The following is a 16,297-nucleotide window of genomic DNA, read 5'->3' as shown; positions in this document are numbered from 1 at the left end:
CCACATGGTTTCACTGCACATTTTACAACCTTTCATACTGTTTCCCTTTTAAATATAAGTTCCAATTTCATACCATCTCTTTGCAAATGCATATGAGCATACACTGTTAGAAGCAGCCAGGCCACATCTTGAACACTTTGCTACTTAGACATTTCTTCTGCCAGATACCCTAAATCATCTCTCTGAAGTTGAAAGTTCCATAAATCCCTAGAGCAGGGGCACAATGCTGCCAGTCTCTGATAAAGCATAGCAAGAGTGACCATTACTCCAGTTCCCAATAAGTTCCTCATCTCTATCTGAGACCACCTCAGTATGGACTTCACAGTTTGCATCGCTATCAGCATTTTGGTCAAAACTATTCAAGAAGTCTCTAGGAAGTTCCTAAATTTCCCTCGCCTTTCTGTCTTCTTCTGAGCCCTCCAAACTGTTCCAATCCCTGCCTGTTACCCAGTTCCAAAGTTGCTTCGACATTTTCAGGTATCTTTATAGCAATGCCCCACTTCTCTGGTAACAATTTTCTGTGTTTGTTTGTTCTCACATGGCTATAAAGAACAACCTGAAACTGGGTACTTTATGAAGAAAAGAGGTTTAATTGACTCACAGTTCTGCAGGCTGTACAGTAAGCATGGCTGGGAGGCCTCAGGAAACTTACAATCATGGTGGAAGGTGAGGGGAAGCAAGCACACCTTACCATGGCAAAGCAGGAGAAAGTGAAGGCAGAAGTGTACACACTTTAAAGCAACCAGATCTCGTGAGAGCTCCGTCACATTCAGGAGAACAGCAAGGGGGAAATTTGCCCCCATGATCCAATCACCTCCCACCAGGTCCCTCCCCCAACACTGGGGATTACAATTCAACATGAGATTTGGGTGGGGACACAGAGCCAAACCATATCACCTCATATATATATCCTCTACGCACCTATGCTTCCTTCTTTTGATCCTTGAATGGTTTCATTTTCTAAATTTAGTACTCCTATATATTTTGAGTTTATCTTGATAACCTTGTGACAACATGACATACAGACACAAATTTATCTTTTCCCAAGTTCTATCAGTTGTCCCAACACCATTTATTTAAAAAATTCATTTTTTCCTCAATGACTTTTGCTGTCACTTTATTACATACCAGATTTCCATATGCATTTGGGTATATTTCTGGGCTTTTTATACTCTTCCATCATTTTATCTATTTAAATACAACATTACACCATTTTAATTATAGAAGTTCTACAGTATATTTTAATATCTGGTAAGGGGCAAGTCCCTCCCCTCAACCCTTATTGCTTATTGGTAGAAGACTTTTAGAAGGAAGTTTTCTGGATGCTGATTTTTTAAAGTTATCTCAATAAATAGTTCTGATAAATGTGATCTTTTCCCTAGAGCTGAAATATGCTAATACCGTGATGCGCTTTGATTACGTCTGGCTTCGAGACCACTGCCGCTCAGCATCGTGCTACAACTCTAAGACTCACCAGCGCAGCCTGGATACTGCCAGTGTGGATTTATGTATCAAGCCAAAGACCATTCGTCTGGATGAGACCACACTCTTTTTCACTTGTGAGTGGACAGGAGACTTGATCTTCTTTGGGGGTACTCTTCTGAAGGACAGTTATTTTGTGGAAAATGGTTTGTTCCTTTCAAAAATAGGTTATTACTTACTTTTCTTTTTTTCTTGTTTTGGAAGGATTTTTTGAAACATTTTATTTTTCTCTTCAAATAAAATTGTTACAATCCACAGCTAACATTATACTTAATAGTGAGACTTAATGCTTTCCCTCTAAGACAGGGAACATGGCAAGGATGCCCATTCTTACCACTATTATTTAACATCCACTCTCACCACTCTTATTTATCATAGTACTGAAAATTCTATTATAGTAAGTCAAGAAAAATTAATAAAATTCATACATAAAACTCTTTATTTGCAGATACATGACATCCTAACATAGACTACCTCAAGTAATCTATAATAAAACCGTGAAAACTAATAAATGAGTTCAGTAAGGTCAGAGGACACAAGATCAACACACAAAAATCAATCATATTTCTATATACTTAAACATGCAGAAACTGAAATGAAAAATGACCATTTCAAAAATAGCTTCAAATAAATTTAAATATTTAGGTATAATCTAACAAAATATGTATAGGATCTGTATGATAAAAATTATTAAATGCTGATGAAAGAAATCAAAGAAGACATAAATACATGGAGAAACAAATCATGTTCATGGATTGGAAGACTCAACATAGTAATGATGTCAGTTTTCTCCAAATTGATCTATAGTTTTAATGCAATTCCTGTCAAAATATAAGCAAGATTTTTTTTATAATTATAAACAAGCTTGCTCTAAAATTTAAATGGAAATATACAGGCCCTAGGAGAGGCAAAACAATTTTGAAAATGAAGAATTAAGTGGGAAGAAATCACTTCCAGACTGCAGTAATCAAGACAATGTGGTATTGGTGGAGGGACAGATACATAGATCAATGGAATAGAATAGAGAACCCAGAAATAGATCCACAGAAATATAGTCAACTTATCTTTGGCAAAAGTGCAAAAGTCATTCAATAGAGGAAGGATAATCTTTTCAGTAATTGGTACCAGAGCAATTGGACATCCATAATGAAAAAATAAAAGAACCTCAACTCAAGTCTCACACCTTATATAAAAAAAAAATCATAGTAGATTGCGGACTTAAACGTAAAACATAAAACTATAAAACTTCAAGAAAAGAACATATGAGAACATCTTAAGGTCCTGACTGGCGCTAGGACTAAATAACTCTTAAAACTCAGCAGAAAAACAAGCAATACAATTTAAAAATGGATAAAAGATATGCTCAGACATTTTCCTGAATAGGATATACAGATGGCGAATAAACACATGAAAAGATGTTCAACATTATTAGCTGTTACAGAAATGAAAGTTAGTATCACAATGAGATTGCACTACATACCTATCAGAATGACTACATTAAAAAACAGTGACTACACCAAATACTAGAGAAGATGCAGAGAAATTCTATCACTCATACATTGCTTATGGGAATGTAAAATGGTACACTCTGGAAAACAGTTTGGTAATTTCTTAAAAAAAAAAAACTAAACATGCAACCCAGAAATCACACTTCTGGGCATTTATCCCGAAGAAATGAAAACTTATGTTCACATAAAACCCTGTACATTAATGTTCACATCAGCCTTATTTGTAATAGCCAAGAATTGGAAACTACCCAATGGGTTAATGGTTAAACAAACCATCCATACAATAAAATCCTACTCAGCAACTTTATTGGAACTAGTTCGATACATAACTTGGAAGAACCTCAATTACATTATGCTGAAGTGAAAAAGCCAATCTGCATGATTTCATGTTTGTAACAGTCATGAAATAACATAATTATAGAGGTAGAGAACAGATTATTGGTGTCCAGGAGTTAGGGATTCGGGGGTAGGAGGTGGCGGATGTAGCTGTAAAAGGGTAACACGAAGGAGTCATATGGTTGAGTATCTTGATTTTGGTGGTGGTTACACAAAGTTACACATGTAATTACACTGCATAGAGCTATGCACACAAATGAATATATGTTTAACTGGTTAAATCTGAATAAGCCCAATGGATTGTACCAATACCACTTTCTTGGTTTGGGTATTGTAGTGTGGTTATATAACAAGTTAACATCAAGGAAGGGGAAGAGCTCATGGGACTTTCCTACACATTTCTTTTCAACATCCTGTGAATCTATTATCTCCAAATAAAAAAGTTAAAAGAAAAAGCATTGGAGGAAAAAACATGCTTATGATGCATACATTGACTACTAATTTCTCTACAATAGAAAAAAAATGCCATAGAAAGGTTTATTTAAAAACAGGCAAAATATTAGCAAAATGTATGCCGAAGACTAAATATCCTTAATATGTAAGGTGCTTTTGCTAAATTGTAAGAAAAGTACAATTGTTGGGGGGAGGAGCCAAGATGGCCGAATAGGAACAGCTCCGGTGTACAGCTCCCAGCGTGAGCGACGCAGAAGACGGGTGATTTCTGCATTTCCATCTGAGGTACCGGGTTCATCTCACTAGGGAGTGCCAGACAGTGGGCGCAGGCCAGTGTGTGTGCGCACCGTGCGCGAGCCGAAGCAGGGCGAGGCATTGCCTCACCTGGGAAGCGCAAGGGGTCAGGGAGTTCCCTTTCCGAGTCAAAGAAAGGGGTGACGGACGCACCTGGAAAATCGGGTCACTCCCACCCGAATATTGCGCTTTTCAGACCGGCTTAAGAAACGGCGCACCACGAGACTATATCCCACACCTGGCTCAGAGGGTCCTACGCCCACGGAATCTCGCTGATTGCTAGCACAGCAGTCTGAGATCAAACTGCAAGGCGGCAACCAGGCTGGGGGAGGGGCGCCCGCCATTGCCCAGGCTTGCTTAGGTAAACAAAGCAGCCGGGAAGCTCGAACTGGGTGGAGCCCACCACAGCTCAAGGAGGCCTGCCTGCCTCTGTAGGCTCCACCTCTGGGGGCAGGGCACAGACAAACAAAAAGACAGCAGTAACCTCTGCAGACTTAAGTGTCCCTGTCTGACAGCTTTGAAGAGAGCAGTGGTTCTCCCAGCACGCAGCTGGAGATCTGAGAACGGGCAGACTGCCTCCTCAAGTGGGTCCCTGACCCCTGACCCCCGAGCAGCCTAACTGGGAGGCACCCCCCAGCAGGGGCACACTGACACCTCACACGGCAGGGTATTCCAACAGACCTGCAGCTGAGGGTCCTGTCTGTTAGAAGGAAAACTAACAACCAGAAAGGACATCTACACCGAAAACCCATCTGTACATCACCATCATCAAAGACCAAAAGTAGATAAAACCACAAAGATGGGGAAAAAACAGAACAGAAAAACTGGAAACTCTAAAACGCAGAGCGCCTCTCCTCCTCCAAAGGAACGCAGTTCCTCACCAGCAACAGAACAAAGCTGGATGGAGAATGATTTTGACGAGCTGAGAGAAGAAGGCTTCAGACGATCAAATTACTCTGAGCTACGGGAGGACATTCAAACCAAAGGCAAAGAAGTTGAAAACTTTGAAAAAAATTTAGAAGAATGTATAACTAGAATAACCAATACAGAGAAGTGCTTAAAGGAGCTGATGGAGCTGAAAACCAAGGCTCGAGAACTACGTGAAGAATGCAGAAGCCTCAGGAGCCGATGCGATCAACTGGAAGAAAGGGTATCAGCAATGGAAGATGAAATGAATGAAATGAAGCGAGAAGGGAAGTTTAGAGAAAAAAGAATAAAAAGAAATGAGCAAAGCCTCCAAGAAATATGGGACTATGTGAAAAGACCAAATCTACGTCTGATTGGTGTACCTGAAAGTGATGTGGAGAATGGAACCAAGTTGGAAAACACTCTGCAGGATATTATCCAGGAGAACTTCCCCAATCTAGCAAGGCAGGCCAACGTTCAGATTCAGGAAATACAGAGAACGCCACAAAGATACTCCTCGAGAAGAGCAACTCCAAGACACATAATTGTCAGATTCACCAAAGTTGAAATGAAGGAAAAAATGTTAAGGGCAGCCAGAGAGAAAGGTCGGGTTACCCTCAAAGGAAAGCCCATCAGACTAACAGCGGATCTGTCGGCAGAAACCCTACAAGCCAGAAGAGAGTGGGGGCCAATATTCAACATTCTTAAAGAAAAGAATTTTCAACCCAGAATTTCATATCCAGCCAAACTAAGCTTCATAAGTGAAGGAGAAATAAAATACTTTATAGACAAGCAAATGCTGAGAGATTTTGTCACCACCAGGCCTGCCCTAAAAGAGCTCCTGAAGGAAGTGCTCAACATGGAAAGGAACAACCGGTACCAGCCGCTGCAAAATCATGCCAAAATGTAAAGACCATCGAGACTAGGAAGAAACTGCATCAACTAATGAGCAAAATCACCAGCTAACATCATAATGACAGGATCAAATTCACACATAACAATATTAACTTTAAATATAAATGGACTAAATTCTGCAATTAAAAGACACAGACTGGCAAGTTGGATAAAGAGTCAAGACCCATCAGTGTGCTGTATTCAGGAAACCCATCTCACGTGCAGAGACACACATAGGCTCAAAATAAAAGGATGGAGGAAGATCTACCAAGCCAATGGAAAACAAAAAAAGGCAGGGGTTGCAATCCTAGTCTCTGATAAAACAGACTTTAAACCAACAAAGATCAAAAGAGACAAAGAAGGCCATTACATAATGGTAAAGGGATCAATTCAACAAGAGGAGCTAACTATCCTACATATTTATGCACCCAATACAGGAGCACCCAGATTCATAAAGCAAGTCCTCAGTGACCTACAAAGAGACTTAGACTCCCACACATTAATAATGGGAGACTTTAACACCCCACTGTCAACATTAGACAGATCAACGAGACAGAAAGTCAACAAGGATACCCAGGAATTGAACTCAGCTCTGCACCAAGCAGACCTAATAGACATCTACAGAACTCTCCACCCCAAATCAACAGAATATACATTTTTTTCAGCACCACACCACACCTATTCCAAAATTGACCACATAGTTGGAAGTAAAGCTCTCCTCAGCAAATGTAAAAGAACAGAAATTATAACAAACTATCTCTCAGACCACAGTGCAATCAAACTAGAACGCAGGATTAAGAATCTCACTCAAAGCCGCTCAACTACATGGAAACTGAACAACCTGCTCCTGAATGACTACTGGGTACATAACGAAATGAAGGCAGAAATAAAGATGTTCTTTGAAACCAACGAGAACAAAGACATCACATACCAGAATCTCTGGGACGCATTCAAAGCAGTGTGTAGAGGGAAATTTATAGCACTAAATGCCTACAAGAGAAAGCAGGAAAGATCCAAAATTGACACCCTAACATCACAATTAAAAGAACTAGAAAAGCAAGAGCAAACACATTCAAAAGCTAGCAGAAGGCAAGAAATAACTAAAATCAGAGCAGAACTCAAGGAAATAGAGACACAAAAAACCCTTCAAAAAATCAATGAATCCAGGAGCTGGTTTTTTGAAAAGATCAACAAAATTGATAGACCGCTAGCAAGACTAATAAAGAAAAAAAGAGAGAAGAATCAAATAGACACAATAAAAAATGATAAAGGGGATATCACCACCAATCCCACAGAAATACAAACTACCATCAGAGAATACTACAAACACCTCTACGCAAATAAACTAGAAAATCTAGAAGAAATGGATACATTCCTCGACACATACACTCTCCCAAGACTAAACCAGGAAGAAGTTGAATCTCTGAATAGACCAATAACAGGCTCTGAAATTGTGGCAATAATCAATAGCTTACCAACCGAAAAGAGTCCAGGACCAGATGGATTCACAGCAGAATTCTACCAGAGGTACAAGGAGGAACTGGTACCATTCCTTCTGAAACTATTCCAATCAATAGAAAAAGAGGGAGTCCTCCCTAACTCATTTTATGAAGCCAGCATCATCCTGATACCAAAGCCGGGCAGAGACACAACCAAAAAAGAGAATTTTAGACCAATATCCTTGATGAACATTGATGCAAAAATCCTCAATAAAATACTGGCAAACCGAATCCAGCAGCACATCAAAAAGCTTTTCCACCATGAGCAAGTGGGCTTCATCCCTGGGATGCAAGGCTGGTTCAATATACACAAATCAATAAATGTAATCCAGCATATAAACAGAGCCAAAGACAAAAACCACATGATTATCTCAATAGATGCAGAAAAAGCCTTTGACAAAATTCAACAACCCTTCATGCTAAAAACTCTCAATAAATTAGGTATTGATGGGACGTATTTCAAAATAATAAGAGCTATCTATGACAAACCCACAGCCAATATCATACTGAATGGGCAAAAACTGGAAGCATTCCCTTTGAAAACTGGCACAAGACAGGGATGCCCTCTCTCACCGCTCCTATTCAACATAGTGTTGGAAGTTCTGGCCAGGGCAATCAGGCAGGAGAAGGAAATAAAGGGTATTCAATTAGGAAAAGAGGAAGTCAAATTGTCCCTGTTTGCAGACGACATGATTGTTTATCTAGAAAACCCCATCGTCTCAGCCCAAAATCTCCTTAAGCTGATAAGCAACTTCAGCAAAGTCTCAGGATACAAAATCAATGTACAAAAATCACAAGCATTCTTATACACCAACAACAGACAAACAGAGAGCCAAATCATGGGTGAACTCCCATTCACAATTGCTTCAAAGAGAATAAAATACCTAGGAATCCAACTTACAAGGGATGTGAAGGACCTCTTCAAGGAGAACTACAAACCACCGCTCAAGGAAATAAAAGAGGACACAAACAAATGGAAGAACATTCCATGCTCATGGGTAGGAAGAATCAATATCGTGAAAATGGCCATACTGCCCAAGGTAATTTACAGATTCAATGCCATCCCCATCAAGCTACCAATGACTTTCTTCACAGAATTGGAAAAAACTACTTTAAAGTTCATATGGAACCAAAAAAGAGCCCGCATTGCCAAGTCAATCCTAAGCCAAAAGAACAAAGCTGGAGGCATCACACTACCTGACTTCAAACTATACTACAAGGCTACAGTAACCAAAACAGCATGGTACTGGTACCAAAACAGAGATATAGATCAATGGAACAGAACAGAGCCCTCAGAAATAATGCCGCATATCTACAACTATCTGATCTTTGACAAACCTGAGAAAAACAAGCAATGGGGAAAGGATTCCCTATTTAATAAATGGTGCTGGGAAAACTGGCTAGCCATATGTAGAAAGCTGAAACTGGATCCCTTCCTTACACCTTATACAAAAATCAATTCAAGATGGATTAAAGATTTAAATGTTAGACCTAAAACCATAAAAACCCTAGAAGAAAACCTAGGCATTACCATTCAGGACATAGGCATGGGCAAGGACTTCATGTCCAAAACACCAAAAGCAATGGCAACCAAAGCCAAAATTGACAAATGGGATCTAATTCAACTAAAGAGCTTCTGCACAGCAAAAGAAACTACCATCAGAGTGAACAGGCAACCTACAACATGGGAGAAAATTTTCGCAACCTACTCATCTGACAAAGGGCTAATATCCAGAATCTACAATGAACTCCAACAAATTTACAAGAAAAAAACAAACAACCCCATCAAAAAGTGGGCAAAGGACATGAACAGACACTTCTCAAAAGAAGACATTTATGCAGCCAAAAAACACATGAAGAAATGCTCATCATCACTGGCCATCAGAGAAATGCAAATCAAAACCACTATGAGATATCATCTCACACCAGTTAGAATGGCAATCATTAAAAAGTCAGGAAACAACAGGTGCTGGAGAGGATGTGGAGAAATAGGAACACTTTTACACTGTTGGTGGGACTGTAAACTAGTTCAACCATTGTGGAAGTCAGTGTGGCGATTCCTCAGGGATCTAGAACTAGAAATACCATTTGACCCAGCCATCCCATTACTGGGTATATACCCAAAGGGCTATAAATCATGCTGCTATAAAGACACATGCACACGTATGTTTATTGCGGCACTATTCACAATAGCAAAGACTTGGAACCAACCCAAATGTCCAACAATGATAGACTGGATTAAGAAAATGTGGCACATATACACCATGGAATACTATGCAGCCATAAAAAATGATGAGTTCATATCCTTTGTAGGGACATGGATGAAATTGGAAACCATCATTCTCAGTAAACTATCGCAAGAACAAAAAACCAAACACCGCATATTCTCACTCATAGGTGGGAATTGAACAATGAGATCACATGGACACAGGAAGGGGAATATCACACTCTGGGGACTGTGGTGGGGTCGGGGGAGGGGGGAGGGATAGCATTGGGAGATATACCTAATGCTAGATGACACATTAGTGGGTGCAGCGCACCAGCATGGCACATGTATACATAGGTAACTAACCTGCACAATGTGCACATGTACCCTAAAACTTAGAGTATAATAAAAAAAAAAAAAAAAGAAGAAAAGTACAATTGTTCCAATAGAAAAATGTGAGAAAGGACTGAACAGACAAATCATTAAAGCAGGAGTCAGCAAACATTTTCTATAAAGAGCCAGATGGTAAATATTTTCAAACTTTGTGGGCTATATGAGTGAATGGAGCTATAGACAATATGTAACAACATGGACAGCATGTGTTCTGAAACAGGCATTACAAAACCAAGCACCAGATTTGACTCATCAACCATAGTTTGGTAGTCCCTGCATTAAAGAAACATAGATGTCTAACAAATATAGAAAGTATTCTTATTAGCCTTAGTAAGCAAATAAGTTAAAATTATTACAAGATAGCAGTTCCACTTTAGTTACCAAATTAGAAAAAAATATATTTTAAAAATAAGAATACTCCATTTTGATGGACACATATGTACTGTTGGAGGGAATGAAGATAAGTAGACTTTCTAAAAAGTAATTTGATTATGTATATCAGAACTCTTAAAAGTTTATATCTTTGAAATTTCTAAATACAAAGATACGAACTTTTAAGAAATGTAATATACATTCTATTTCTAAATTATAGAAATATGGTTAAAGATGATCACTAATAAATAATAGGAAATTTTTTAAAAATAAATGTACATACCCAGAATAACAGATGGGTTAGGTAAATCTTGGTAATGTATATTTTGTAAGCTTTAAAAATTAATTTTAATGAAGGTTGAATTTTTAAAATGATAAAATTTAATTTTAAAAATTGTTAAAATGTTAAGTGACAATGGCAGAGTCCCAAATTTTATATATATAAATTACATAAACTATATTTATATACATAAATTACATAAAATAAGAGAATGTACAGAAAAACTGGAAGGAATGATGCCAGGCTGTCAATCATAGTTTCATCTGGGTGATAGAATGATAAACATGGTGACTTTTAATTTCCTCATACTTTTTTATGCTTTCCAAATTATCCAAAGTGTGATACTTTTTTACCAAGGGGAGGGAGGAAAAGAGAGAGAAGTAAAAAGGAGAGACAAGTTGTCAACATAGTCTTTCACTCCTTCTGCTGCTTCCTTTGCTTATCCTGAAGATTTTCTAAAGCATTTCAGGGTTGGTTTTCAACTTTTTTTGGGTGGGGTGTGCACAGCAGGTGAAGCCACTTACAAAGTAATTTTATTGTATTGTGTTGATGTCATATAATTAGACAGCAATGTCCTACATCATGTAGAAGAGGAAGGCAGCATTGAATAGTACTGAACTTGTAGCAGCAAGAAGGTGGGGTTCTAGTTCCACCTATAGTACTTAGTTGTGTGATCTTGAGTGAGTCACTGACTTTTTCTCCATCTGTAAAATAAAGATTAGCCCCTTCTAGCTCAAACATTCTGAGTTCCTATATAGATGGAAGACAGGGATGGGGGCAAGGGGAGAGAGTGCCAAGTAGGCTTGTAAAAGCCTACTTGGATTATCATTCTTTGATGACTTGATGAATTTTCCAGAAGATCTTTTACTATATAACTATAATTCTGTAAACTTATTTAGCCTCTGGGAAGATTTATTTGTTCATTCATTTATTCATGCATACCACTCAAACCACACATATTTCTTTCTCAGAAACATTCTAGGCATTCATTTTAATTTGGTTTCATAAACAATACAGTACTGGATAACTGATTGCTAGGAAAAAGATTCTTAACTAGTTGTAACCAATTACAAATATTGACATTATTTGTAATTATTATAGTGCCTTTTATTTTTCCCCTTAAAAGGGCCAGATGGTCATGTGACTAAATATGATTTGAATTGGCTGGTGAAAAACAGCTATGAAGGGCAGAAACAAAAAGTCATCCAGCCTAGAATACTATGGAATGCTGAAATCTACCAGCAAGCCCAAGTTCCATCGGTAGATTGCCAGAGCTTCTTAGAAACCAACGAGGGACTGAAGAAGTTTCTGCAAAACTTTCTGCTCTATGGAATTGCATTCGTAGAAAATGTCCCTCCCACTCAAGAGCACACAGAGAAGTTGGCAGAAAGGATCAGCTTAATCAGGTAATTCATTTGTTTCCTAAAATCCACAGTATTATAATTAATTTCCAGAGCATGAACACCAATAAATAAATGTAACAGGTATGGTCACCCTCGTTTTCAATCCAGAATATTTTGTAGCATGAATAAGGGACTCTCACTTGCAGTACTTTATTTGAGGTCTGGATTTCTAATCTCTAAATACACTTATGTGTAAAATATAATGATGACTGCAGAGTCATTGGTAATATGTTTCTAGCCCAGTGATCCCAAGTGACAGGTATTATTGTACACTGGAAAAAAACACTGACTGTAAGGAGAACTGGATAGTAGTCTGAGTTCTACCATCAAGTAGTTGTGTGACCATAGGCATGTCCATTACACACACACACACACACACACACCCCCTCGACCCCCACTGTCCTCTATTTTCCCATCTGTTCAATTTGACCTTCTGTGATTCCTGTGGCTTGATTCAGAGACTGATTGTTAATAACACTGCCTTAAAAGGCTATATAGCATTCAGCCAGCACATTCCCACCCATTATTTTCTTTTAATTATTATAGGAACCCTGATCAGTGTGTGTTTTGTCCCCGTTTTACTGCTGAGGCACTGACACTCAAATATACCAAGTGTCTTGCCCAGGAGTGCTCTACTAGTAAACAATAGAACTTGAATTCAAATAGCCCAGGTTTCCTAATCCTAAATACATTGTTTTTTTCATTACCATTACGCACTTTTGGGTGGTATATAGATTGATCTTCTATAGTATTAAGTGTGATGTCAACCTACTTTATTATAATTAGTACTTTCCTTTTACTTAATAAGATCCAGATATAGCTCATTTTGTAGTAGATAGTATGCTGGGTCTTCTTCCCTGTGCTGGTAGAGCATAATCAACAGCATCTGTGAGCCATTCAGTTTGAATCACAGTTTGAGAACTTTCAAGTGAAAGAAACTGTGCTGGTAAGTGATAAATTGAGACAGTTTTAGGGATGATAGTTCAAAAGGAAGAGCATTTCCTATTTGAACTTCAAGGGTTCAGAAAATAAGATGAACTTTGAAAGCTAAAGAATTAAAGTGACCTTTAGTCAGATTTGAGCCGAACAGGAAAATAATTACAAAATCAAAATATATGATGTATACTTCAAGGAGAGACACAACAACAATGGTACAGCAAGTCTCACTAAATACTTGCTAACACAAACTATCCTTTTCTCTTTTCTTTATTCCTCCATGTCCAAAAGATGAGTGAGGATCTACATTAATCACTTCTGTGTCTTATAAATAATATGAGAACTCTTCAGTCATCCTTGCAAATTGGATTATCCAAAATATTAGGAAATGACCACCATTATTGAAAAAATGGTACTAATAAAAGACAACAGCTATAAAAATAGTAAATAAAGTTAGACTTGGAACCAACCCAAATGTCCAACAATGATAGACTGGATTAAGAAAATGTGGCACATATACACCATGGAATACTATGCAGCCATAAAAAATGATGAGTTCATGTCCTTTGTAGGGACATGGATGAAATTGGAAATCCTCATTCTCAGTAAACTATCGCAAGGACAAAAAACCAAACACCGCATATTCTCACTCATAGGTGGGAATTGAACAATGAGAACACATGGACACAGGAAGGGGAACATCACACTCTGGGGACTGTTGTGGGGTGGGGGGAAGGGGGGAGGGATAGCATTGGGAGATATACCTAATGCTAGATGATGAGTTAGTGGGTGCAGCGCACCAGCATGGCACATGTATACATATGTAACAAACCTGCACATTGTGCACATGTACCCTAAAACTTAAAGTATAATAATAATTAATAAAATAAAATAAAAAAATCACTTCCAGAAGCAGCTATATCTTTTTCTGTGAAAGAAAGGTGAGCATAGAAAAGAACCTTGAATTTATGAAGGCTATGAAAACTGGGCACATAATCAGAGTGGGATGATTCTCCAAGCTTTCATAATACAATATTATACTTCCACAGTTTTCTCCCCAACTTTCTAGAATGTTAATAAGTGACAGAATTGTCAAGACTAGCATGTTCAACTGTCATTTTCACCTTATGGATTAAATTCTGGAACCAAAAAAATCTACTGTTATTTGTGAGTAACTAAAGAAGGTATTGGAAGGAGTTTTGAAAGACAAGAATGAACATTTCAAATAGCTAACAGGTCTTTCTTTATTTCAACTAACAGAGAAACCATTTATGGGAGGATGTGGTATTTCACTTCAGACTTCTCCAGAGGTGACACTGCGTACACCAAGCTAGCTCTGGATCGGCACACTGACACTACCTATTTTCAAGAGCCCTGTGGGTAGGTGGATTAGACTTTTACAGTGTAAAGTCTTTATATGTGATAGTCTTGAGTGGTTTCTTAATTATTTTCCATTCTGTTCGAACCAAGATCATATCTGCTCCTGCAGATTTGTATGACTTTCTCTTCCCCTAGAAACATGATCATTTTGAAATACCTTAACTCAGTTTTTAGATTCTGTATTAGGCCATTCTTGCATTGCTATAAATAAATACCTGAGACTGGGTAATTTATAAAAAAAAAAAAGAGAGATTTAATTGTCTCATGGTTCTGCAGGCTATACAGAAAGCATAGCAGCATCTTCTTCTGGGGAGGCCTCAGGGAGCTTCCAATCATGGTGGAAGGTGAGCGGGGAGCAAACAGTTCACATGGCAAAAACAGGAGCAAGTGAGAGAGAGTCAGGGAGGAGGTGCCACACACTTTTAAACAGCTAGCTGTCACAGGAACTCACTCACTATCTGAAGACAGCACCAAGCCATCAGTTATCCACCTCCATGAGCTAAACACTTCCACCAGGCCCTACCTCCAGCACTGGAGATTACAATTCAACATGAGATTTTGGTGGGGATAAATATCCAAACTATATCAGACTCCTAGGAATAAAATATTTTTAAGTTCTCAAAAGAAGACATTTATGCAGCCAAAAAACACATGAGAAAATGCTCATCATTACTGGCCATCAGAGAAATGCAAATCAAAACCACAATGAGATACCATCTCACACCAGTTAGAATGGCAATCATTAAAAAGTCAGGAAACAACAGGTGCTGGAGAGGATGTGAAGAAATAGGAACACTTTTACACTGTTGGTGGGACTGTAAACTAGTTCAACCATTGTGGAAGTCAGTGTGGCGATTCCTCAGGGATCTAGAACTAGAAATACCATTTGACCCAGCCATCCCATTACTGGGTATATACCCAAAGGATTATAAATCATGCTGCTATAAAGACACATGCACACGTATGTTTACTGTGGCACTATTCACAATAGCAAAGACTTGGAACCAACCCAAATGTCCAACAACGATAGACTGGATAAAGAAAATGTGGCACATATACACCATGGAATACTATGCAGCCATAAAAAATGATGAGTTCATGTCCTTTGTAGGGACATGGATGGAGCTGGAAACCATCATTCTCAGCAAACTATCACAAGAACAACAAACCAAACACCGCATGTTCTCACTCATAGGTGGGAATTGAACAATGAGAACACATGGACACAGGAAGGGGAACATCACACTCTGGGGACTGTTGTGGGGTGGGGGGAGGGGGGAGGGATAGCATCGGGAGATATACCTAATGCTAGATGATGAGTTAGTGGGTGCAGCACACCAGCATGGCACATGTATACATATGTAACAAACCTGCACATTGTGCACATGTACCCTAAAACTTAAAGTATAATAAAATAAAATAAAATAAAATAAAATAAAAAGAAAACTCATCTTACTATATAAATGGAGTCCTAATTTTGTTAATTATTAAAATGTAATTTTACATTTTTCAAAGTAATTATAAATTATCCCCCAAAAAAGTATTGCCTAACCATTAGTTTTGGAATTTGTACAGATTTCTTGCATTTAGTTATTAACATATTGCAAAAGGGTCGTCATGCAAACACAGCTGCTTTGAGTATGGCATTAAGAAGAATTTGAATCTGATTTACAAGAAGTTGGAGAGGAGGAATGATGGAAGAATAACTTCTTCACACGGAATAAGATGCTTTTGAACCAAAGATGATACATACTATACTCAATTTTCCTACCATTTGCTCTTCAGTAGAGGCACCTCTGTGGTTATTCCGTGTTCTTGATCTTGCTTCTGCATTTAGATGGTGAGCCTGAGACACAAAGATATGAGTAAAATGAGTGCACATAGATTTATGGAGACTATATGAGAGGATGATAATATGCAATTGCTCATGGTTACACTGATTTCCTTTAAGGGTT

The 16,297-nt window shown here is 38.3% G+C and overlaps 1 protein-coding gene across 7 annotated transcripts in view; it reads left to right on the top strand.

The window, feature by feature from the left end:
* TMLHE (trimethyllysine hydroxylase, epsilon) overlaps window positions 1-16,297 on the top strand; it is a 123,942-nt gene that overhangs the window by 86,938 nt on the left and 20,707 nt on the right. For 6 of the 7 annotated variants that reach the window (XM_047442235.1, XM_047442234.1, NM_018196.4 and 3 more), the window contains 3 exons: window positions 1,383-1,559; window positions 11,750-12,029; window positions 14,223-14,342. In XM_047442235.1, coding sequence (XP_047298191.1) covers window positions 1,406-1,559; window positions 11,750-12,029; window positions 14,223-14,342 — 554 coding nt within the window. In that variant the 5' untranslated portion in view covers window positions 1,383-1,405. Of the gene's footprint in view, window positions 1-1,382; window positions 1,560-11,749; window positions 12,030-14,222; window positions 14,343-15,917; window positions 16,178-16,297 lie in introns of those variants that run through there. The other variant, XM_017029620.3, reaches the window with a different exon arrangement.

This window comes from Homo sapiens, chromosome X, assembly GCF_000001405.40.
Source record: "Homo sapiens chromosome X, GRCh38.p14 Primary Assembly".
Classification (NCBI taxonomy): Eukaryota; Metazoa; Chordata; class Mammalia; order Primates; family Hominidae; genus Homo; species Homo sapiens.
Note: the sequence above shows the minus strand (reverse complement) of the source record. Positions and strands in the feature narration are given on the sequence as shown.